The following is a 23,418-nucleotide window of genomic DNA, read 5'->3' on the forward strand; positions in this document are numbered from 1 at the left end:
GGTGGTCAACATTGACCTCATTTTACAAATGAGAAAACGAAGACCTGCCGTGTGTGAATTGGGAATGTGAACAGTTAGTATTGGAACATCTGTCTCTCAGACTCCAAGTTCTGCACATTCCACCACACCCCAAACTTCTAGGTTTGTGCTCTGCCAGAGGAAGATATCAGAAGAGCTAGAGAGAGATGCTCACCAACAGGTCACCTTAATTTGTCCAGTACCCTGTGGCTGGCACTTCCTACTGACATGCTCCATTCTCCTAACACCTTTATAAGGGTAGACACTTTAGCTTTGGGTCTTAGTCCCTTACCCTTTTTTTTTTCTATTGTCCAGACTAGAGTGCAGTGGTGTGATCATGGCTCACTGTAGCCTTGACCTCCCAGACCCAAGCGCTCTTCCCATCTCAGCTTCCCAAGTAGCTGGAACCACAGGCACTCGCCACCACACTTGGCTAATGTTTTTTTGTAGAGACGTAGTCTCCCTGTGCTGCCCAGGCTGGTCTCAAACTCCTGAGCTCAAGACATCCTCCTGTGCTGGCCTCTGAAAGTGTTAGGATTACAGGTGTGAGTCACCGTGCCTGGCCAGTTCCCTACCGTTAGTGATGAGAGAATACCTGCTGCTTATTTTTGTAAGTACCGCAGCCAACGTCTCTCCCCATCCCGTAAGCTGTTAAACGCCCTCTATTTAGAGATTTCCCTTCTGAGTGAGTCAAAGGAAAATGTTTCCTATATTTACTTGAGTATCTTAACATTTAAAATTTCTTTTTTTCTTGCAGGTTCCATCACAGCTTCCTTTTCTATTTCTGATTTCCATCCTCAAGGCAGGCCTATGCCTCTGTTCTTATCTTTCTGGGAACTAATTTAGTTTCCTTGTGTTGAGAAGTGTTCCCTCTGAAGTCACATCTTTCTGTCTCAAGTTGAGTCACTTTCCCTCCTTCTCCTTTCTCTAAGCCTATAGTTTGTTCTTATGCTTCTCAGACAGATGCTTTAAGGACACATAGCTTTCCAGTATATTGAGATTTTATTTGATTAGCTTCCTTCCCTTTAGGAACCAAACTGACATCACAAAATTTCTGTCACTTTCCTCAGGCCTTGGTTTCCTCATCTCATTGTAAAAGACTGGAGGCTCTTAACCTGGTGATCTGTCACAGGTAGACTTGGGTGTGGGCCTTTTGAAATGATGCAAAACTGTGTGTCACTCTCCTCCCCAAACTACTGGCCTAGAGTCCTTGGCTGACCTCAGATTCTCAAAGGTTCTGTGATCCAGAAAAAGTTGTCAGTTACTGGAGTAGATGGTCTCTAAATATTCTCTTTAATTCAAAAATTCTAGGAAGTACTCTCACAATTTGTAAAAACACTTAAAAACCAAGGCTAGATGCCAGTCAACAAATAGTGCTTCTGTCACAGAGAAACTCAGTAAATATTTGATCATGCAAACGATGGGATTTTTCAAGATGATCTTCCCTTTGCTTTCTTTTTCTTTTTTTTAGTGGAACAACCAGTTTGATCTGTAACTGACTGTGAACAATGAATTGAGATAACTCACTACCATCAGACCTGTCCCCCTTACTTTCCTTTTTTTTTGTTTACTTTTTAAAATTTTTTTGAAATAGAGTCTTGCTGTGTCACCCAGGCTGGAGTGCAGTGGCATGATCTCAGCTCACTGCAACCTCCACCTCCTGGGTTCAAGCAATTCTCATGCCTCAGCCTCCCGAGTAGCTGGGATTACAGATGTCTACCACCACGCCCGGCTAATTTTTCTATTTTTAGTAGAGACAGGGTTTCGCCATGTTGGCCAGGCTGGTCTTAAACTCCTGGCTTCAAGTGATCTGCCCGCCTCGGCCTCCCAAAGTGCTGGGATTACAGGTGTGAGCCACCACGCCCCAGCCTACTTTCTTGATTGTTCTAAATGTTGTTGGCCAAAATTGCGCCCAAGAAAATCCAAGAACTTGGTTGATAATTCTGACTGCTTGGGCATTTTGTACGCACATTTTTCATCCAATAAGTTAAGTTGTCCCTCAGAACAAAAACTAAAAGGCAAAACTTCTATTTTTCCATTGTGAAGGTCTGTAAGTTGACAATAAACCCCTGACTTAAATTTTTGTATGTGTTCTTCTTTCTCATTTAAACTAAAATTCATGCAGGATTTTTACCTAATCAAAGGATATCAAAGCTAAAAAGAATGGCATTTCTCTTGTCTGAATCTTTTGTTTACGGACAGAGTAGCTGCCAGGAAAGAGAAGTGACTCAACAAAAGATACTTGGCAAGCCAATGGCAGAGCTAGAGCTAGAACTTGGGACCCTGACTCTCAATCCAGTGCTCTTCCCCACCCCATCCTGATTTCCCTGAAGACCCCTGCATTCATTTCATTCACTCTCTTCTGCTGTTCAGAGAAAAAACACACCTAAAAACATGGGCAACTGACCCAATGTGAAACAGTTTAGGAGTGAAAAGTCAAACCATTTCACAGGAAGTGTCCACACATCTGCAGAGTTGAGGGAGGTGGGCAGGTGACTGATTCAAAGGGTCACCGTGACTCCTGACATAACTTCTGGTCCCAGCCCCTTCTCCAGAAACCCCCTTTTCTATTCACCTGTGGACACCAGAAGCCTCACCCAAACAAGGAATGCATCATTCTCTATGCACACCTTTCATGGTCCTACCTCTGGGCCTTTGCTTGAGCTATTTGCCTCGAGTCCCACCCTCCTGCTGTACATCTGTGAGAAAACCTCTTATTCTTTAAGGCTCAGATTAAATGCTACTTTTTTGAGGAGAGCAAAATCACTTGGTGACCATCCAGCAAGCCCCAGAGGCAAAAACTCCTTATCTGAGGAATTTAGAAGGGAGCAATGACCACCTGGTGACCATCAAACAGGCCAAATTCCTTATCTGGGAAAATTAGAAGTAATTAGACTTCCCTATCATTTAAAGCAGGCATCTGGTCCCAGATTTCTTTCCCTCCAAATTTATAAGTAACTAGAATTTCTACACATCTCTGGAATGGCATGCTGAAACTCACTGTGCAACCCTTGCTGACGTTAAGGCACCAAAACATCTACAGATGTAATCATGTATCATGACCTATGTGGCCAGTATGGTCCAAATTGCCCTTAAGCTTCTGCCTTAAGGTCCATAAATGCTCCTAAGGAAAATCCACCTCAGTGCGCTCAGTCCTCTCTCACTGAGTGCCCTGCTGCACCCTTTTGCAGCGTTCTTTCTTTCTAATAAACTTGCCTTCTTCAAATCTATACTGTTATCAGTCAATTTTTCTTACCAACACTCAAGTCAACCACCTCCTCATACTGGGGCTCTGACACCCTGCCTGGCATTTTTTTTTCCTGAAGTCTCCAGACAACCACCTTCCTTCCCGGTTATTATTTCTCCCCATCTTGATCTTCCAGGATGTACTGTTTGTGACTCTCTTTCCTTATTTGCATTGTAACTATTTGGGAACAGGTCTTACTCCCCCGGTGAAGATCCTAAACTCCTTTAGTTGGAGTCAGTCATTGTTTGTCTTTTTTTTTTTTTTGAGATGGGGTCTTGCTCTGTCACCCAGGCTGGAGTGCAGTGGCCCTATCTCTGCTCACTGCAACCTCCGCTTCCTGGGTTCAAGTGATTCTCCCACCTCAGCCTACCAAGTAGCTAGGATTACAGGCATGCACCACCACACTCAGCTGATTTTTGTATTTTTTTAGAAGAGATTTTTGTATTTTTAGAAGAGATGGGGTTTCGTCATGCTGGCTGGTCTTGAACTCCTGACCTCAAGTGATCCGCCTGCCTCAGGCTCCCAAAGTGCTGGGATTACAGGTGTAAGCCACCATGTCTGGCTTGCCTTTTCTTTCATTCAACAAACATTCACTGAAGTGCCTTCCATACATTAGGTATCACGGTCCCGCCTTTGGAGCACTGATACTGTATGGGAACACAGGGAAGCAAAGGGGGCTGAGAGAGGCTCACACAGACCATTGCAGGGGCTATGGCAGCCCAAAGTCAGAGCACTAATCCACTCATGCAGGGGTGGGGGAGGCTGTCAGGAAAGGTGTTAAAGGAAATCAGAATATTTTACCCCAAAATATATTTTTTTGACATATTTTGACATGGCTGTCAGAGAGCCAGCAAAAAGAGGTAGCTCTGCAAAGCTGTCTTTTGTGCAGGAGATTTGTATTTGTAGAGAAAAATCTGCATTGATGCAGCCAGGTTTTCTCTGAGGCTTTCCCTTGTCTAGATCTAGAAAAGATTAACTGGCAGTCTGACACCTTTAAAGGCCTAAAAGGAACATTTACCATCTATTCTCTCCGAGGCTGCTACCTGTGAGCTTTCATCTAAATAACAAGACCCCTTTGCTAGCCAAGCCTTGCTTTTCTCCCTCCCATAACGTGTCTTGCTGCTTAAAATCTGATTTACCACCATAACCTGTCTTTGGCCATCCTCTGAGCCCCCACTCTTCTGTAACCTCAAGATGGTATAAGCTTCTGCACCCCATTGGTTGGGTCTTCATTCTGAAGGCTCCCGTGTCACATAAAACTATGATCGAATAAATCTGTATGCCTTTTCTCCTATTAATTTGCTTCTTGGCCGGGCGTGGTGGCTCATGCCTGTAATCCGAGGAGGCCGAGGCGGGAGGATCACCTGAGGTCAGGAGTATGAGACCAGCCTGGCCAACATGGTGAAACCCCGTCTCTACCAAACAATACAAAAATTACCTGGGCATGGTGGCATGTGCCTGTAGTCCCAGCTACTTGAGGAGGCTGAGGTTGAAGGAGTCTTGAACCTGGGGGCAGAGGTTGCAATGAGATTGTGCCACTGCACTCCAGCCTGGGTGACAGAGTGAGACCCTGTCTCAAAAAAAAAAAAAGAAAGAAAAAAATTTTTGCTTCTTGTCAGTAATTTTTAGGGAAACTTCAAGGATAAGAGGGAAACTTTCCCTTGGCCCCAACAGCTTCCTAGAAGTTACATCTAAATGGAAGCCCTGATGATGTTCACCCCTCTCTATCTCTTGCAGCTAAGTACCTGGAATATCCTAAATGCTTCAAAGAATAAATGATCATAACATTTCAGAATATCTTTTCATTTAAGGTTCTCAGGTAAAATTCCCTCCCATTATTGGTCAGATTCTCAACCTACCTCCCCAATACCTACAATAAAAGTGAACTTTTGTTTCAGCTCTTTAGTTCAGCAAGGAGAATAATGGCTGACAATTTTCTTGATACACAAACTGGTCTGGAATGCATTTTTCCAAATAAGCAACACAGCCTGTGGTCACGTCATCCTGATGGGGCTGCCAGAGAACAGTTGTCATACAAGTCCTTCCCATTTTTAGCATGTCTGTCACCCAAAGGGGGCCCAAGACACAGGAGCCCCTTCTGAAGGACCCCGTTTCCAGAGTTGTCAGCTCCTGCTCCAGCCACAGGAGGGGAAAGTGAGGGGGCTGAAGGGGAGGTGTGGGCAGCAGCCCTTTTCACACAAATGCCAGCTCTCAAGGGGGAGCGAGCCCCAGGCCACAGCCTGTGCACACCCATGGAGAAGGGGCTTGTGCCAGGAGGGCAGGAGGAAGGGAGGGGACAGGAAGTGGTACACTTGGGGTCTGGAGGCCCACCAAGAAAGGAACACCAAGTTTCAACAAGCCTGGCTTTCCAATCAACATAATCTTCAGTGTTGCCAGCTACTCCCCTCCTATCCTGCCTTAGGAAGCAGGAAGCGTATACCCCTAACCTTACTCGGAGATCCGGCACCGTGCGCACTTCCTATACACACAGGATCCTGGAATTGGGCCGGGATGATGACTCAACACTGACGATAAGGATGTCCCCGGGTGCCTTGGGTTGACTTAGAATGTTTATAGAATTGTTCCTGTGTCAGAAACGTTTAATTCTTTTCAACTAGCCACTTCACCATCTCTTCTATTCCTTCCTCAACCTGTTCCAGGGCCAGGCAAAGCCTTTGCCAGGTATTACTGCTTTCCTACAGCCCTCCACAGCAGCGGGTGACCCCACATATGGAGCCTTGGCACATGCCAAGCACCGACTTCCATGAATTACCTCACTGAATCCTTATGACTGCCCTACAAGGGATGGACTGCTTCCACTCCTGCTTAGCATGTGAGAGGTTAAGTGGCTTTCTAGCAAAAGGCTAAGCCTGATTTCTTATAAACTGCCCCATGCCGGCTCACCCTCAGTGATCCCCACTCCTGATGTGCTGGCCCACCCATGGGCCCACATGTGCTTGGCTGGAGCTGGAAGTCTGGCCTAGTGTGTCTCAAGCCTCTGTGCTCCTGTGTCCCCCAAGCATGCCTCTATTATTGCCCTGGTGATATTGCTAGGCTCCTCCTTGTTTTGAGGAGCCTTGAACTTAGGGTTCTCAAGAGGAGAGACAAATGACCTTTGTATTCTGCCCAGAGGCTGGTACCTGCAGGCCTTATTCATAGACTGAATAACTACAGCCTCAAAGGGAAACTGAGGTTGCAAGCCTAAGGGTTAAGCACTATTTACTGTGGACATCAGACATACTAGATACTTAATAAATGGCTTGGAGACATCTTCAGGAACTCAATCTGGGTCTAAGGAAGTTCTAAAAATATTCTCAGTTCTAGAAGCAATTCTAGATCACCCAAGATGGTGGCTCTATAGCTTCCGTTTATAAAGTGCTGACCATGTTCCCAGGATCATAAGCCCTTGTAATCAACCACTCTTTGAGGTAGGTGCTATCATCTCCATTTTACAGATGAGGAAACTGAGTCTCAGACAGGGGAAGCAACTCCCAAGTCACTAGACTGTAAGAGGTGGAGCTGGCATTCAAACCTGGTTGCTTCTGAGAAGTTGCCGAAAGTCTTTGACTTTCGCAGTAGTCAACAGCATAGCCAAAATCAGAATTGTGATTTGTTTAGTTGCTAAGTTCATTTCTCCAAAAAAATTTTCAGGTCTCAAAACACCCTAAGGCTACCTTTGTCCAAATGCTCTCTGGGTCTTTGTAGCTGACCCAGAGAGAAGATGGTACACTCACCCCAAAACCTGGCATGGCTATTCGAGGATACCCCATGTCAGTCAGGGCCCCAGGAGACCTGCATTCTCCTCTCCAGAACCAAAACACCTTTGTTTCATAGCAAACAAAGGCCCCGCGCTCCCACACAAACACGAGACAGGACAAAGACCTGACAGAGCCGAGCACTAGCAGAGCACCATGGGTTATGGAAACAAAGTGCATCTTACATAAAAGCAAACCACACCACACCAAAGCCTGGTGTTCTCAGCTGTGTTAGTCAAAGCAAACTGAGGGTCATCTCTAAGGCATACATGGGATGTGAGGAAGGTCTGCCTTCTCAGAGGCCCTTGCAGCAGGCCAGGAGGCATTCAAAGTAGAGATAACTTCCAAATGACCTCAAGTGGCCAGATATAGCCTGTCCTTTCCCTCCAACTGTATCCAGTCCTGGCACCTGAATTCATGTCCTCCCATTCCCTCTGGGGCCATCTCTTTGCTCCTGAGGCAAGCAAATGGTCTCACCAGCATTCACTTGGCCTCCGTAGATGGACCAGGGGCGAGACGTGCAGCCCACCCTGCCAAGTGAGACGCCAAGTGCACACGCGGCATGCTGCAGTCCTACCTGGCTCCCACCTCTCCGAGCAGCTTTCCTCCCCGCCTGCTCGCCACCTCTATGCCGCTCTGTCTGCTCAGCCTCACTTCCTGGAAAAGCGCTACCCAGGGGCTTGCCGGGCCGGCTCTCCTCAGGGGTGTTGAGATCTGAGAGTCTCTGTTCAGTACTCAGGCACCTGACCACGTCTGAAGGCTTCAAGCAGCTCTTCTTAGAGATCTTGGGTCCACCAGGGCCTCTTTCGCCTGCCCCCCTCTCTGCTTTCCTCTCATATTGTCCACTCTCTTCGCGCCATGGCTGCCTCTTGCTCTGGCTGCTAAAGGCATCACTAAGCTGGGAGATGACACTATCAGAGCTCCCCAGCGGCAGCTGCAAGAAGCTATCTTGGTGGATGCCTGAAGATGGCGTGTGGACACCACCGTCTCCATTCATGTGAAGGGAGGCCTGGGAAGTAGGTGCTAGGGAGTAGGTTTTGTGTGGGGAAGGTAGGGCCAGTGGAGAAGCTACTGATCGTGGGGTGGGACGATCTGACCAACTCAAATGGGGGAGGCTGAGAGACAGGGAGGGACTGGCCCTTGGTGACAAGGCGAGGTGGTCAGTGTTATAGATAGAAGCCTCTGGCAGAGGAGGCAAGGGTGGGGTCAGGGCCAGAGAACGCCTGCCTGGGACCCCCACAGTCAGTGAGATCCACTCAGAGGTGACAGCGTGCATCTCGGGGGACAGGGCTCGGCGGGAGTGGGGCAGAGATGAGGGGGCTGGCGTGATGAGCTTGCTGTGACTGGAAAACTTAAAAAGAAGAAAAGAGAGGAAAACAAAAGAAAGAAGCAAAAGGTACAAGTGTCAGCATAAAGGAAAAAGAAGGAAAATAATCACAAGGGGTATATAAAGAGGAATGAAATGGAGAGGATGAGCAAGGACACTCTGGTGTCCAAAAAGGAAATCCTCAGGTTACATCTGGGGAGAAACCAGGATGGGTGAGTGTGCGTTTGAGCATGTGCGAGCGTGATCCTGATGTGTGCAGGCAGGGGGTGGAGGAAGCAGTGAGAGGTGTGGAGATGGGGAGAGGTTCCCGTCAGAGTAGTGACGGATGAGGCCGCCCTGCTTTGCAGAATCAGATTTTCAAAGGGACACATTGGAAGCTCCCCATCCCAGCCAACCCAGCCCCTGTGCATCCAGATCCCTGACCCGGAACCATACGGGGAAAGGTGGCCCCACACTGCCATGGCCCTTCCCTGGGGTTTTATTTTCTCTGGGAGCTCAGCAGAGTCTTCCAGAGAGGAGTATGAGTAGTGTACTAGTTTTGTTTTACAATCACTCTTGGCTAGTCAAGTGAAAAATGTAGTTGAGTTCCCTGCATCCTTACAAAGAAGAATGTCCCACTCCAGTCACACACTCTGTCCTATAAGACAACAGGATGCGGCTATCACTGTCCAGGAAGCCCTGGGTCAGCCCGTTTAATGCTTTCTGCCAAGAACCCTCTACTGGGGTCAGTGATGAGCAGGTGGCAGAGGAGGAAACAATTAGAGGACCAGACAAGAGGCACCATCTCAGGGTCAACCTGGGCCCCCAGGTCCTACTCTTGTTCCTCTGCCAACCTCCTTACAACATACATGGTGGTTTGTCCAGGCTCTTTCACAGGGATGTCACCCCCACCGTGTCACCCTGAACTCAAGGTTCTGACATTTTCTTGGCTTTGGGAAAGTGGGGATCAGTTAGGAATAGTTTATATTTCTAAACAAGTTTGTTCATAATTAATGTTTGGGAAAGCCAACATCTTATTACGCCTATAAACCTATATCCTTTCAGCCCACAGAGACTGAGATGCTGTAAGTTACTTGTTCCAATCACCTGGTTCCAGTGAATGCAAATAATACTTTGGATCTGGTCTATATGGCTGATGAGAAGGTGTAAGTCTCTCTTTCAGCCTTTGTCTTCTGCAGGTCAACTTTGGCCAAGATGACTGAGGACCGCATTTGGACCATGGGATTTATGACACAGTGGTGGTACCCACACCAACAGCTTCACCCAAGAGGGGCCAACTGATAAAGGCTCTTGTTTCTCTGTTTCTCTTTCCCTAGTCACCTTATTCCCAGAGCAATTACTTGACTATTCCTTTTCCCTTGAGATATATCTGCAACCAAGCACTGGAAAAGGCCATTTGTATGCATAAAGACAAAGTCCAGTGTACAGTCTGCTTTCCTGCAGTTTTTTTTTTTTTGAGATGGAGTCTCGCTCTGTCGTCCAGGCTGGAGTGCAGTGGCATGATCTCGGCTCACTGCAACCTCTGCCTCCCAGGTTTAAGCGATTCTCCTGCCTCAACCTCCCGAGTAGCTGGGACTACAGGCGCCCGCCACCACGCCTGGCTAATTTTTGAATTTTTGGTAGAGATGGGGTTTCACCATGTTGCCAGGCTGATCTTGAACTCCTGACCTCAGGTGATTCACCCGCCTCGGCCTCCCAAAGTGCTGGGATTACAGGCATGAGCCACCACACCCGGCCTCCTGCAGACAGTTTTTAATTGCAGTGCTCAAAAACCTCCCCAGAGAGGCTGTGTGCCATCAGCACTGTTGACTACAAAAATTCACATGCTGAGTATGAAAACCAGTGACGAGAAGCTTAGATACCTGTGGGCTTGCAGTGGCACTGCGACTTGGGGAGGAGGAGAAAGGCAGGTCCATGTAATCCACAGGGTTTTTCACCAGTGGTCGCTTGATCACATCCACGTAGGTGATGGGGAAGATGCCTTGTCGGGATGTCCCCGGGATCCTCCCTTCGTACCAGTTCTCATCTACCTGCCGGAGCAGTGTGATCCTCTCACCCTGGAAGACACAGCAAAGAGAGGGTCCTTGTCCTAGCATGCCTCTGCATGCCTGGGGCCTCTGCCTGCATGCTTCAATGTCCTGCATTGTTTATCACATCCTTAGCTCAGGAAAAACCTTCCCTGCTGAACCTGGAGGGAATTAACACCACTGGGATGAGGATGCTAATGGCAGAGGAGCTATCTTGATGCTGGGAAGTTCAGCTTGGTTCTTTAAGTATTTTAGTAAAGGAGAACATCAGATTTGTGTCCCTAAGCCAGGGAACAAATGTAGTGTTTTTGACTCATTTAATGTGAAACAGATACCCAATCTTCATTTCTAAGGCAAAGATTTTGGGGGGTTTCACTTTTTCTTTCTTTTGTAGCATTATAGATACTTATAATGTATCATTATAGAAAAATCAGAACACAAACGTAAAGCAGAAAACAATCATCACCCATCACATAGTCATTTGGGGATAAACACTTAATATTTGGCATATGGACTCCCCAGATTTACTTCTATGCATGTGAATTAAACCTGCACATATTTTTTCTTATAAAAATTGAGTATGAACTGTGTTTCCCTTTTCCAACTTGCTTTTTAAAAAATACTTAATAGCACATAGTAAACCTCCTTCTTTATCAAGAAATAGAATTCTAGATTTTTAATGGCATTGCATAGCTTAATGGACCACTGCAGGGTATTCTGTCGCACACACATATAATGATTTAATTACTGATCCCCTGCTGTTGGGCAACTGGGTTGCTTCCAGTGCTTTTTCTAACAATGTGCTCACTTCCCTCAAGCCTCAATAAAATCAGTAACTTAGTAACTTTAGCAAGCCAGAGAATTTTGCCATGTAGAGTGTTTGGATTCTGGAAAGAACAACTTCTCTGCACAATGTAATTATGTTCTGAATAAGCATGATGGTGATAATAATAATACTGGCATCTCCTGTTTACTAAGCACCAACAAGATACCATGTGTCATGCTGGGGGCTTCACATAAGTTGTTTCACCGAAGCCTCTTACAACCACCTAGGAGAGAGCCATCTATCTTCATTTTTTTTCTATAAGAAAATGGTGGCTTGGAAAAAGTATTTAACTCCCACATTCTGCGTAGTTGGTTTGTGCCTTTTGGGTTCAAAGCTTTTCAAACTTCTCCTGGTATCAATGGACCTGTTTTTTCCACTAGGTCACACCAATATATTGTAAAACCCAGTCCCCAACACAATGCATTATGACATCATTAGTTGGTAAGTGTTGGTTGAAAACAGCTTATAAAAGATGTCTAAGACTCCAGAAATACTATGTTTAATCAGTGAGCTCAATATAGTTAAACCCTGATATTAGCCTAGGGTTTATTTTAAAAATACCTTACCTCAGAAAATTCTCCAATTGCCCTTAATGCAATTCTTTTTTTTTTTTTCTTCAGTAGAGATGGGGCCTTGCTACGTTGCTCAGGCTGGTCTTGAACCCCTGGCCTTAAGCGAGCCTCCTGCCTTGGTTTCCCAAAGTGCTGGGATTACAGGCCTTAATGCAATTCTTTTTTTTTTTTTTGGAGACCTATTGCCCAGGCTGGAGTGCAGTGGAGCGATCTCAGCTCACTGCAACCTCTGTCTCCCAGGTTCAAATGATTCTCCTGCCTCAGCCTCCTGAATAGCTGGGATTACAGGAACCCACTACCATGCCCAGCTAATTTTTGTATTTTTAGTAGAGACGGGGTTTCACCATGTTGGCCAGGCTAGTCTCAAACGCCTGACCTCAAGTGATCTACCCACCTCGGCCTCCCAAAGTGCTGGGATTACAGGCATGAGCCACCGTGCCCAGCCCTTAATGCAATTATTGATTGGCATACTTCTCTTAAGGGTACAGACAGCACCCCCAGACTGGGGTGTGATAGCAACACCACGCTTCCCCACATAGCTGCGCCATCCAAGAGAGCCCCAAAGCAAGGCATGAGAAGTGCAGCTTACCTTTCTGAAGGACATTTCTACTTGTGTATCACCATTAAAGTTAAACTTAGCAATAGCTTCTCCATATTCCAAAACCTGCACTGGTGTCAACTTTTTGGGCTGTGCCTTCTCAGCAGGAGGAAGAAGCTGAGAAAGGGAAAGAGGTAAAAGAGAACAAGGGAAGAGAAGAAAGCAGGGAAACAAGAGGAAAAGGAGGAAACAAAACATAAGCATTTGGTAAATAAATGGTGCTTTGGGCACTGTCAGGCTTTTCCTTAGAAAGAAAAGAGGCTGCGGTACCTCGATGTAGGTGCGTGGGAAGATTCCCACCCGGCCGTGGTGTTCTCCTTCATACCAGTTCTGATCAATTTGCTTATAAATGTAAACAATATCTCCCTTCTGCAGAGGAAGCTCCCTGTTGACAGAAGGTCAACGGCATTTTAGCAGATGTTTCAATATGTGTAAGATTAAGACACTTCAGTTTTGTAGCAAAAGGAGACTTTTAAGTGGGGTCAAAGGGTACAAATTCCAGAGAGGGGCCTCCATATTTGGAAGTAAGAACCCCACTATTCAGGAAATTACATCACATTTGGCATTTTTCCACTCTTTTGCAGGATGGATGTTAACATTCAAATTGACTAGCCCTTGAAAGTGCTCAGAGGCCTTATTAATTTGTTGTGGTTTTCTAAATGCATTTTTTGTGAATGTTGTCTTATGCTCAGAAAATTTATGCAACACAGAGCAATGCACTCAGCTGCCTTAACTGATGTTTGTTAAACAAAACGTCTCCTGGATACCTTCACTATCCTCTTCTACGCCCTAGCAGGGCATGCCTTCGTTGCTTTAAATTGCCCTCAAATTATTTGTGATATATTGATATCCTTCTATCATTCCATCAATTTCACCATTTGTCCACCCATCCATTTTACCATCTATCTTTGTATCATCATGCAGTAGAAAGGTTCTGAAGTTAGGCAGATCTGGTCCAAAATCCAGTTCTGAAATTTAGTAGCTCTGGGACCTTGGACACAATACTTAATCTGAGACACTGTTTCTTTAGCTGAACTTGGAGCTAACTCAGAGTTGCTGGAGAATGCTTCAACAAATTAAAAATAAACAGCTAGGATGGTGCCTGTTGTACAGGTAGGTAACACTCAATAAATGTTAATTCCATTACTTTTTTTCATGAGACGGTCTCATTCTGCTGCCCAGGCTGGAATGCAAGTGGCATGATCACAGCTCATTGCAGCCTCAACCGCCTGGGTGCAAGTGATCCTCCTACCTCAGCCTCCTGAGTAGCTGGGACTACAGGCATGCACCACCATGCCTGGCCAATTGTTATGTATCTTTTTGTAGAGATGGGGTTTTGCTATGTTGCCCAGGCTGGTCTTGAACTCCTGGGCTCAAGTGATCCTCCTGCCTCAGTCTCCCAAAATGCTGAGATTATAGGCATGTAGTCACCACGCCTGGCCTAATTCCTTTGCTTTTAAACATGGAAAAGTGATGTTGGAAAGAAAAGTAGATTTTCCTTCAAATGCTCTTTGTACCCCTTTGCAACGTTTCCATATCCATTCCTTTGCTTGCCTCAATAATGATGATGTTATTATTATTATTATTATTTTTTTTTTTTTTTTTGAGACGATGTCTCACTCTGTCACCAGGCTGGAGTGCAGTGGCACAATCTCAGCTCACTGCAACCTCTACCTCCCAGGTTCAAGCAATTCTCCTGCCTCAGCTTCCCAAGTAGCTGGGAGTACAGGCGCCACGCCTGGCTAATTTTGTGTGTGTGTTTTTTTTAGTAGAGACGGGGTTTCACCATGTTGGTCAGGCTGGTCTCGAACTCCTGACCTCAAGATCCACTTGACCTCCCAAAGTGCTGGGATTACAGGTGTGAGCCACCGTGCCTGGCCCAGATTATGTTAATTTTTAACCAGGACTCTTTAAAAAAAAAAATGAGACAAAGGCAAATTTTAAACAAAATGAAAAAAGAAGGATAAAAATTATAACCTTTTCTTTTTTTTCTTTTCTTTTTTTTTTTTTGAGACAGAGTTTCGCTTCTGTTGCCCAGGCTGGAGTGCAATGGTGTGATCTCAGCTCACCGCAACCTCCGCCTCCCGGGTTCAGGCGATTTTCCTGCCTCAGCCTCCCCAGTAGCTGGGATTACAGACATGCGCCACCAGGCCCGGCTAATTTTGTATTTTTAGTAGAGACGGTGTTTCTCCAAGTTGGTCAGGATGGTCTCAAACTCCCGACCTGAGGTGATCCGCCCGCCTCGGACTCCCAAAGTGCTGGGATTATAGGTGTGAGCCACCGCGCCTGGCCCTTATAACTTTTTCTTGAATTAAATAATTTTAAAATTGTAACATTTTCTTGAATTAAAAAAAAAATGACCTAGATCTTTTTCATTTGAGTCAAACCAATAGGATGGAAAGGTCTCCAATTGTAACTTGGAAGGGGTGTGCTCACTTTGCAGGATGCCAGGAAGTCCCACGGTATGTGAGGGGTGCTGGCCGAACAATGAGGGCACATCTGGAAAACTACAGAAAGTCAGTTCTGTGCTGAATAAAAGCACAAGGCAACCTTTGTGGGTCTCACATTAGCAGACAGGATTCTAACTCTCAAGAGGTCCGTAAAGGGGATATGGACATTTGTCTCTGTGAGAAGGAATGTCTCGGGCCACATTTTTGCCACAGCCCTCTTTGGGGGGCATTACGAATTCCCCCTCCCTTCATCCCCAACCACAGGCACATAGATGAGCAAGACCCTCAGCATATTCACCCCTATGGAGATCTGCAGGCTCCTGATTCTGCTATACTAAGTATCTCGCAGCTGTGGAGGGGGATGGGAGCATAATGGTCCTACTATTAAGCAAAGGACCCACTTGTGTGTGAGAGACGAACTGAGGGGTCTGTAGTTGTAGCTGATGGAAGACTACCATGGGAAACCTGGGGCCCCATTCTTCCACTGCTGTGGACTATACCCCTAGCTCCCAAAGAACCACTGCTGGTGAGAGGGTTTGAGAAATATGATTCGCTTTAGATCTTTTTTGGAGCATCACGGTGTACATCAGCACAGCAGAGGCCCTGAGAAGGCCAGGGGGAAAGAAACTTGTTTAACTTTGTTGAACCAAGTATTCCATAACATGCTATTTTTTTTTTTAGATGGAGACTCACTCTGTCCCCCAGGCTGGAATGCAGTGGCATGATCTTGGCTTACTGCAACCTCCGCCTCCTGGGTTCAAGCAATTCTCATGCCTTAGACTCCTGAGTAGCTGGAATTACAGGCACTTGCCACCACACCCGGCTAATTTTTGTATTTTTTGGTAGAGACAGGGTTTCGCCATGTTGGCCAGGCTGGTCTTGAACTCCTGACCACAAGTGATCTGCCAGCCTCAGCCTCCCAAAGTGCTGGGATTACAGGTGTGAGCTACCACGCCTGGCCCCGACAGCATGCTTTTTTGAGTAATTGACTATGGCGAAATGTAAAACCAAGTGACTGAAGGGCTTAAAAGACCATGGAGCTAGAATTTACTTTTTTCACTAAATTTTGTGGACATTTTTTTGGAGGCAGCATGTCGTGATGAAAACACTGAGTTAGGAGGAAGGAGCCCTCTCTCCGGCATTAGCAATGTTGATAAAAGGTGACAATTTCTGTGGATCTAAGCTTTCTCACCTGTTCTATTTGACAGGGTTGCTCTAAAAAAAAATTGTTTTAAGACTCTTTATGAAATCTGGGAAAATGTAATATTATCATCACTATACCATTTAATAAATCTTACAAAGACTCCTCAATTCAAAGAAATAAGTGTATTAATTAAATTGCAAATTAATTTATATATCTCTGTTATCCTTTCTGGTTTAAAAAAAAAAGGGGGGGAAGAGGATGACATATTTTGAGTATTAAATTTTGGTCACTATGCAAAATGTTTTACAGGTATTACCCCAGCTTCCCTGCAAGAGAGGCATTTTTACCCCTATCTCGCAGATAAAGAAAATTGAGTGGGGGAGAAGTTGATAACTTCACTACAGTCACAAAGATAGTAAGTGGCATAGTCAGGATTTGAACACAGGGCTTCCTGACTCTAAAGCCCACAATCTTTGCAGTATATTACACAGCCACCTCCTTTAGCTGACCAACTAAAGGACTGGAGTAATACACACAAACCCAACTATACCAGATTTGTGCCTAGGCTCTAGACACTGTGGCCTGGTCACTCATTTTGTGATCCAGGAGATCAGAACCATGGTTGGTTAGCTCCACACAGCATTTCCCAGCATCTAAGGACAGGGAGCTCTCCCTCTGATCACCAGATGCACAACCATCCATCTGCAGGACAATGGGGTGGCCACTGACCATTGTACTTTTAGCTGCCAATGAGAACTCATGGACTATTTAAATCCATTATTAGATAAAAAGCCAGCTGTTTCCTTATGGAACCCAGTCTTTGGTAGCATCTCCCAAATCGTGTTTCAGGTTCCTTTCTTGAAAGACTTCTGGAGCTATTAATATGTCATCAACAAAGTATCTCTTCAAAGTGGGTGGGAGGTATAGATAGAGCATGCAGTGTTTCCCAACTCATTCTACAACAGAACTCTCTTTTTGAGAAAAATTTTACAGGGCTAGCACTCTGAAGAACACACTTAAGAGAAACGCCAGTCTCCTGTGGGTTCATGTAAGATTTTAATCTCTTGGGATGTTGTAGCAAAATGGGTAAAGTTATCTCCCTAGAGACTGGTCTAGATCCTTCCACAGAAAAGATGGGTCAGATCAAGCCACCACTTGAGCAAATAGAGCCACTACATAGGAGGAGGCAGGGTGGGGCAGGGTATAAGACCCCAACCTCTGCCTAGGTTTGAATTCCAACTCTATCACACCAGCTTGAGCAGGTTCCTTAACCTTATAGTCTCTTGGTCTCTTCATTTGAACAGTGGGGATCATCACAGCACCCACTCCATAAGGAATTAACATAAGCAAAGTACTCTGAATAGTGTTTGGCACATAGCAAACTCTATGAACTACTGTTTTGTTCTTTTTTTTTTAACAACAATTTTTATAATTGTTATTTCTCCAACTCTACAAACAAACTGCTGTGTTTCAAAAAGGCAGCTAAAAAGACAAATAAATATAACTGGTGGCACTTACTTTAGTGTCTGAGCTTTAAAGTCAAATTTGGCTCTGGCAGGTCTCATCTGAACATAAGAAACAATGACAAGTTAAAATCAGGATTCATGGACAACAAGGACACATTTTCACAAATTTCTAGAAAGCAAAGCAGAAAAATTCACTCTAGCCAGTTTGTTCTAGTGTAGAAATCTGGGCAAAATTGCATTTGTCTGACCTTAGTAGAACACTAGATAAATGTTTAGTCAACTATGTATGTCATTCATGAGAATCCCCCTAAAAACAGCCAGATCTGGGGAAGAGATGGTTAGAAAGGTCCCAAAGCTGAGGTAACAGTTCCTCAAAACATGTGAACCATGGCTATTAAAAAAACAAACAAACAAAAAGACAAAGTCAGCCAGAAGTCCTAAGATGTTCCTTATCTACTGTCTTATTCCTTAGAGACATCTACTTGCTTAAATTATGATATGCAAGTAGGTGAAATGCCGATTCACTTCTCACATCATCTCCAACTCCATATATTTCTTACGGTCTGTGACATCATCCAAAAAGCCAGATAAAGTGGTCCCTGAGCTCAAATGACTCCTGCCAAGACTTCCAATCCTGTTGGGTAGCCCTCTGTTCCCAGATGCCCAGGTCCAAGTCAGCCTCTGCCCCTTCTCCACTTCCTGATCAAGTGTGTCATTAAGTCAGGAGGGACCTCCCTCCACACCTCCATCCCTCCACAACCCTGTTGCTCAAAGCTGACATCTAGTTTCCATTGACACAAAGCTTCCTTTGATTTCACATTCTCTTCACTCTAATCTGTCACCCAGGAGCACAAATAACATTCCTAACATTCTTCCTCACATCTCTTCCTTGCTTTGAAGTTGGCTGCTGCTCTCAACTTTCCCTCAGTTCAAATCTCAATTCCTGCCATAGGTGAAGGCCTTTGGGTAGTTTCTCCCTACTCTTACAGAATTGCCTTTATCTCTACTACACTGTTCCTGTTCCAGTCAAATCTATTTGCTACACCTCAGCTGAACCCCCTCCTACCCTCTCCTCTATCTGGAATTTCTTTTTTTTTTTGAGACAGTGTCTTACTCTGTCTCCCAGGCTGGAGTGCAGTGGCACGATCTCAGCTCACTGTAACCTCTGCCTCCCAGGTTCAAGCAATTCTCCTGCTTTAGCCTCCCGAGTAGCTGGGACTACAGGCATGTGCCACCACGCCAGGCTAATTTTTGTATTTCTCGGTAGAGACTGGGTTTCACCATGTTGGCCAGGCTGGTCTCTAACTCCTGGCCTCAAGTGATCCACCCACTTTGGCCTCCCAAAGTGCTGGGATTACAGGTGTGAACCACTACGCCCGGCTGTGGAATTTCTTTCTTTTTTTTGAGACAGCGTCTTGCCCTGTTGCCCAGGATGGAGGGCAGTGGCACAATCATGGCTCACTGCAGTCTTGACTCCCCAGGCTCAGGTGATCTTCCCACCTCAGCCTCCTGAGTAGCTGGGACTACAGGCATGCACCACCACGCCTGGGTAACTTTTATACAGATAGGGTCCCACAATGTTGCCCAGGCTGGTCTCAGATTCCTGGGTTCAAGCGGTCCTCCTGCCTTGGCCTCCCAAAGTGCTGGGATTACAGGTGTGAGCCACTGTGCCTAGCCTTCCACAGGCATTTTTAAAGTCTGCATTTTCACATTGATGTTTTCATCTATCTACCCATCTATACCAAACGTACGGGGGCCAAGTGAATGATCACCTTATAATCTAGTTAAAGCCACACAATTTCAATACCTGTGTTTGTGTCTGTAACCAAAGGGCATAATTTCACAGTTGCAGGTGAACAAGAAAATAATGGATGTGGGGTTAATGATAAATGACAAGTTCACAAGAGAAAACTAAATGACCAAAATTATAAGGATACGAATTTCACAGTGATTTCAATAGAAAAACACAAGGAAGTAGGTTACCTCATGTCACCCAGCTGTAGAGCTGTGTGAACTTTAAAAAATGTATACCAAAGCAGCACAGCATTCACACTTTGGTAACTGAGTTCTGTCAAAACAATATCTCCTATCAATTAAATCAATATAATTATATAGCTGTGTAGTTTATGGTTACTTTGTAAGCAGACTTAGGTTAATAATGTGGGGTGGTGAGATTTTTTTCATTAAAGACCTGTTAAAATTCACTGATTCCATTGAACTCTTGAGACGTGTATGTGAGTCATCGATGGTTATACAAAGCAACATCCTCTCCTTCTTTATCTCCCTATAGCTCCCAAGGCTAAATCCATCTTTCCCTCCTCTGGCTTTCACAGTATTGTATTACTTACTACAGGACAGAGATAACTGTATAAGAGGGAGACTTCCACTATCAGCTCCCCAAGGGCACAGACTGAGTTCTTTCTGCCTCCCATAGGGTCTTACACAGAACCTGTGGTCACCCAAGTCCTACCGAATGGGATTGAAGTGCATTGACACAGTGTGGTGCACCTGGGATGTGTTGGTCTCTACTTTTTCTAGTCCACAGTCAACCTCTAGGGCAGTGATTCTCAAAATGTGGTCCCTAAACTGGTATAATCAATATCACCTGGGAAATTGTTAAAAATGTAAATTTTCAGGCCCCACTGCAGAATCAGAAACTTTGCAGATAGGACCCAGGGTCTGTATTTTACCAAGCCCTCCAGGGGATGCTAACGCACTTGTCAGAGTTTGAGAAGCATTGCTCTAGAAGGGAGGCAGGCTCACTGAGCTGAGTTTGCCTGCCTCTGTCTGTGGTTATTCCACCCACGGTGCATTTCTGTTTGCATGTATCATGTACATGTGTAAGTGTGCAGCCGTAGTGCCTTCACCTGTTCCCATCTTCTTCTACCTACAAGCAGGCAGGACTGTCAGTGAGGACAAACCATGCCCAGAGCCTTCTGAGAAGGGCCTTTTTGAGGAGGAGCTGGAATGTTGAGGGCTCAAGGGCTATCTTTCCCTTGCAATTAACATTCGCTAACTTTTGCTTCTTCCTTGATAGATTTTCTTTCTCTCCATCATTTTAGAGTCTCCTTCTCTTCCCCAGCTTTCCTTTTTCTTTTAATTTGAGACAGCCTCAAATTTCTTTAAATTTGAGACAGGATCTCACTCTGCCATCCATGGTGGAGTGATGTGTTCATAGCTCATTGCAGTCTTGAACTTTTGGGGTCAAGTGATCCTCCCACCTCAGCCTCCCAAGTGGCTATGACTATAGGCGTGTGCCACCAAGCCTGGCTAATTTTTCTATATATATACATTTTTTTGTAAAGACGAGGTCTCCCTATGGTGCAAAGGCTAGTTTCGAACTCCTGGCCGTAAGTGATCCTACTGGCTCAGCTTCTCATAGTGCTGGGATTATAGACTTGAGCCACTAAACCCAGCCAGCTTTCTTTCTTTTAATTTGGTTCCCTCTTTTCACTATCTCTTCTTCCCAGACACATTTTTTTTTTTTTTTTTGAGACAGGGTCTTGCTCTGTTGCTCAGGCTGGAGTGCAGCGGCATGATCATGACTCACTGCAGCCTTGAGCTCCCAGACTCAAGCAACCCTCCTGCCTCAGCCTCCTCAGTAGTTTGGACTACAGACATGTGCCACCACACCTGGCTATCTACCAATCTATCTAATTAATTAATTAATTAGAGATGGGGGTCTTACTATGTTGCCCAAGCTGGTGTCGAACTCCTGGGCTCAAGCAATTCTCCCACCTTGACTTCCCAAAGTACTGGGATTACAGGTGTAAGCCACTATGCCCAGTCATATTTCTAAAATAAAAAAGATAGGCAATGATACTCTAGATAGAAAAATAAATAAAAAATAAAATAAAAAAGATAGAAACAAATATTAATCTACTGTACTGAAAGGTTATAAAACAGTACATACTTTGGGTGTTATTCCCCCATTCCCCTAGCTCCCACCCTAAATCCCAGACTTACCCATTTTCCCTAAAAGAGATCATCTTCAGCAGCGCTACTTAAGGGTTACATGGCAAAGCATAAACTCTTACGCAAGATACAGCATTTGGCTAGCATGAGAATTTCGACATGTTGACCTTAGTGCAGGAGGCCAAGATCTGGATAAAAATCACTTCAAAGTTTGTTCTTCTCTTTCCTCTTATAATATTAAGCTTTCATAATCTAGGCTTGGAAATGTCAAAACTAAAAGAACAAATGAAACGTCCCTTGGAGAACTCTCTTACCCTCTGTGGGTTTTTCCTAACTGCAAAAGTCTTTGGGCTTCAAAATTCTTTAGTGAGGCGCACTACTGCAGCACTGCTGAACACTTCACACAATTCATCCACCTACATGTGAGCAGCAGCACTGTTCTATATTTCAAAATTAATGTCACTAAATTTGGAGGCCTTTGTAAATGGCATAAATTATTGTTAAGCTAACTTTCGTAAAGTTTCATTAACCATCTTTTCAAAGAAGAATTGTGTAACTGTCCACACCATAGCTACCAATGCATATGGACTCAGGTATAAGGTTTCTAAGCAGAATGCACAGGCAACACAGTAGCATGATAAAATGCAGGATGTGGAGGGCTGGACTCATGAAGGCAGCCAATGGTCTAAGGCATGCAACAGGGGCATGTGCCAGCAGATCCCGGTCCCCCAGCCAGGCATGCTTGAACATACAGAGCACAGGACATAATGGGGTCATGTCTATTTACCAGCCGCAAGAAGCCAAAGCAAGCCTAAGGGAGGCCAGGATGACAGATGCTGTTTGGAGAACTAAACTGGCCTACAGAGGACAATGCTGAGGGGAGGCAAATAGGCAAATATTGCTTTGGGTCAAGCAGCAGATTGAGGTGACCAAAACAGACCTCTGACCCAGATTTCCTTTTTGCAGTATCGTCTATATTGAGGAGGTCCCCAAAGCGCTCATTAGTGATAAACTGATGGTGCGTCGGAATGACGCCTGTGTGGCGTCGAGCTGCAATATCAGCCTCTTCTTGCTCGCGTTTAAGTCGTCTCTGGTCCGCTAAAAGTTTCTGCCATAAAATTGCATAAAATGGGCAGTGAATCATCTGTTCCAGCATATTAGAAAACTGCCAACAAAAGTAATTAGGGAAGGAGGTACTGGGTGAATGGGGCAGAAGCTTTAAGACTCAGCTGTCAGAACGGCTGTAGAGCCACAACTATTACACTCCCATCATAACCACCCTCCAAGCACTGTAGAAAGGAGGCAGCACTTCACTGGAAAAGCCGGGATAGGGGAAGGATGATTCCACATGATTACACTGTCCAGCAAACTACCTACCCCCGGCTCAGCCCAAAGCCTCTTGCTTCTGGCAGCAAAAGGCCAGGTGAGCCAGGGGGCACATCCAGGGCATTCCCAACCATGCTGGGCTGGCAGCAGGAGGCTGGAAGTGCCATCTCTACCCTGTTTTTAGGCAGGGATATATTCCTACAGCATATTCCCCTGGCAGGACCAGGGCTGGCCAATTCCTCCTACCCACCTCAGGCCTATTAAACCTGCTATAGGCTTCTGCTAGTGAAGTCTATGGCACCAGGTCATTTTTGTGCTTCCTGTATCTCTTACTCTAATATGTTCTTGCCCATTTCAGAAAGGATGATGCCCCTTCTAGGCAGCCAACTCTTCCCCTAGGCACAATTTTTAGAAGGCCTTAGGATATGCACCAAAGGCTAATTATGTGGCTGACAGCATCACTTACTTTTTTACTGAATGACTTCTTCACTGGGTGAAATGAAGCTGAGTTAAAGGGAATGACAGAGAATATAAATATTAAAAAAAAACCCTAAGAATAACGCTACCTGGGATTAGAAGAAATATTCTCTCTTAGAGTAAGGAAAAAGTCATCTATTTCTATTTTTAAAGGCTTCTTTGAAAAATCAAACAATGTTGCTTTTTACCAAATGCCCTCAATGCCCATTAAAATGACCCCATGGAATAGAATTTTAATGTGTTTTCTGATACTAAACAATCTTACTTTCC

At 45.1% G+C, this 23,418-nt stretch overlaps 1 protein-coding gene across 79 annotated transcripts in view, besides 1 other annotated feature; it reads right to left on the minus strand.

The window, feature by feature from the left end:
* SORBS1 (sorbin and SH3 domain containing 1) overlaps positions 1-23,418 on the minus strand; it is a 249,599-nt gene that overhangs the window by 17,151 nt on the left and 209,030 nt on the right. For 51 of the 79 annotated variants that reach the window (NM_001384455.1, NM_001034957.3, XM_017015539.2 and 48 more), the window contains 5 exons: positions 22,286-22,453; positions 17,483-17,529; positions 12,641-12,755; positions 12,362-12,487; positions 10,210-10,404 (listed from right to left, as the gene is read on the minus strand). In NM_001384455.1, coding sequence (NP_001371384.1) covers positions 10,210-10,404; positions 12,362-12,487; positions 12,641-12,755; positions 17,483-17,529; positions 22,286-22,453 — 651 coding nt within the window. Of the gene's footprint in view, positions 1-7,597; positions 8,372-10,209; positions 10,405-12,361; positions 12,488-12,640; positions 12,756-17,482; positions 17,530-22,285; positions 22,454-23,418 lie in introns of all 79 variants that reach the window. The other 28 variants (NM_006434.4, XM_047424475.1, XM_047424479.1 and 25 more) reach the window with 3 other exon arrangements.
* Positions 17,990-18,642: an enhancer, noted in NCBI's record as "OCT4-NANOG-H3K27ac-H3K4me1 hESC enhancer chr10:97106670-97107322 (GRCh37/hg19 assembly coordinates)". NCBI's record gives its function as "activates a minimal SCP1, AML or CMV promoter by ChIP-STARR-seq in primed H9 embryonic stem cells {active_cell/tissue: H9 hESC(primed)}" and the evidence as "EXISTENCE:reporter gene assay evidence [ECO:0000049][PMID:30033119]".

Source organism: Homo sapiens, chromosome 10, assembly GCF_000001405.40.
Source record: "Homo sapiens chromosome 10, GRCh38.p14 Primary Assembly".
Taxonomy (NCBI): Eukaryota; Metazoa; Chordata; class Mammalia; order Primates; family Hominidae; genus Homo; species Homo sapiens.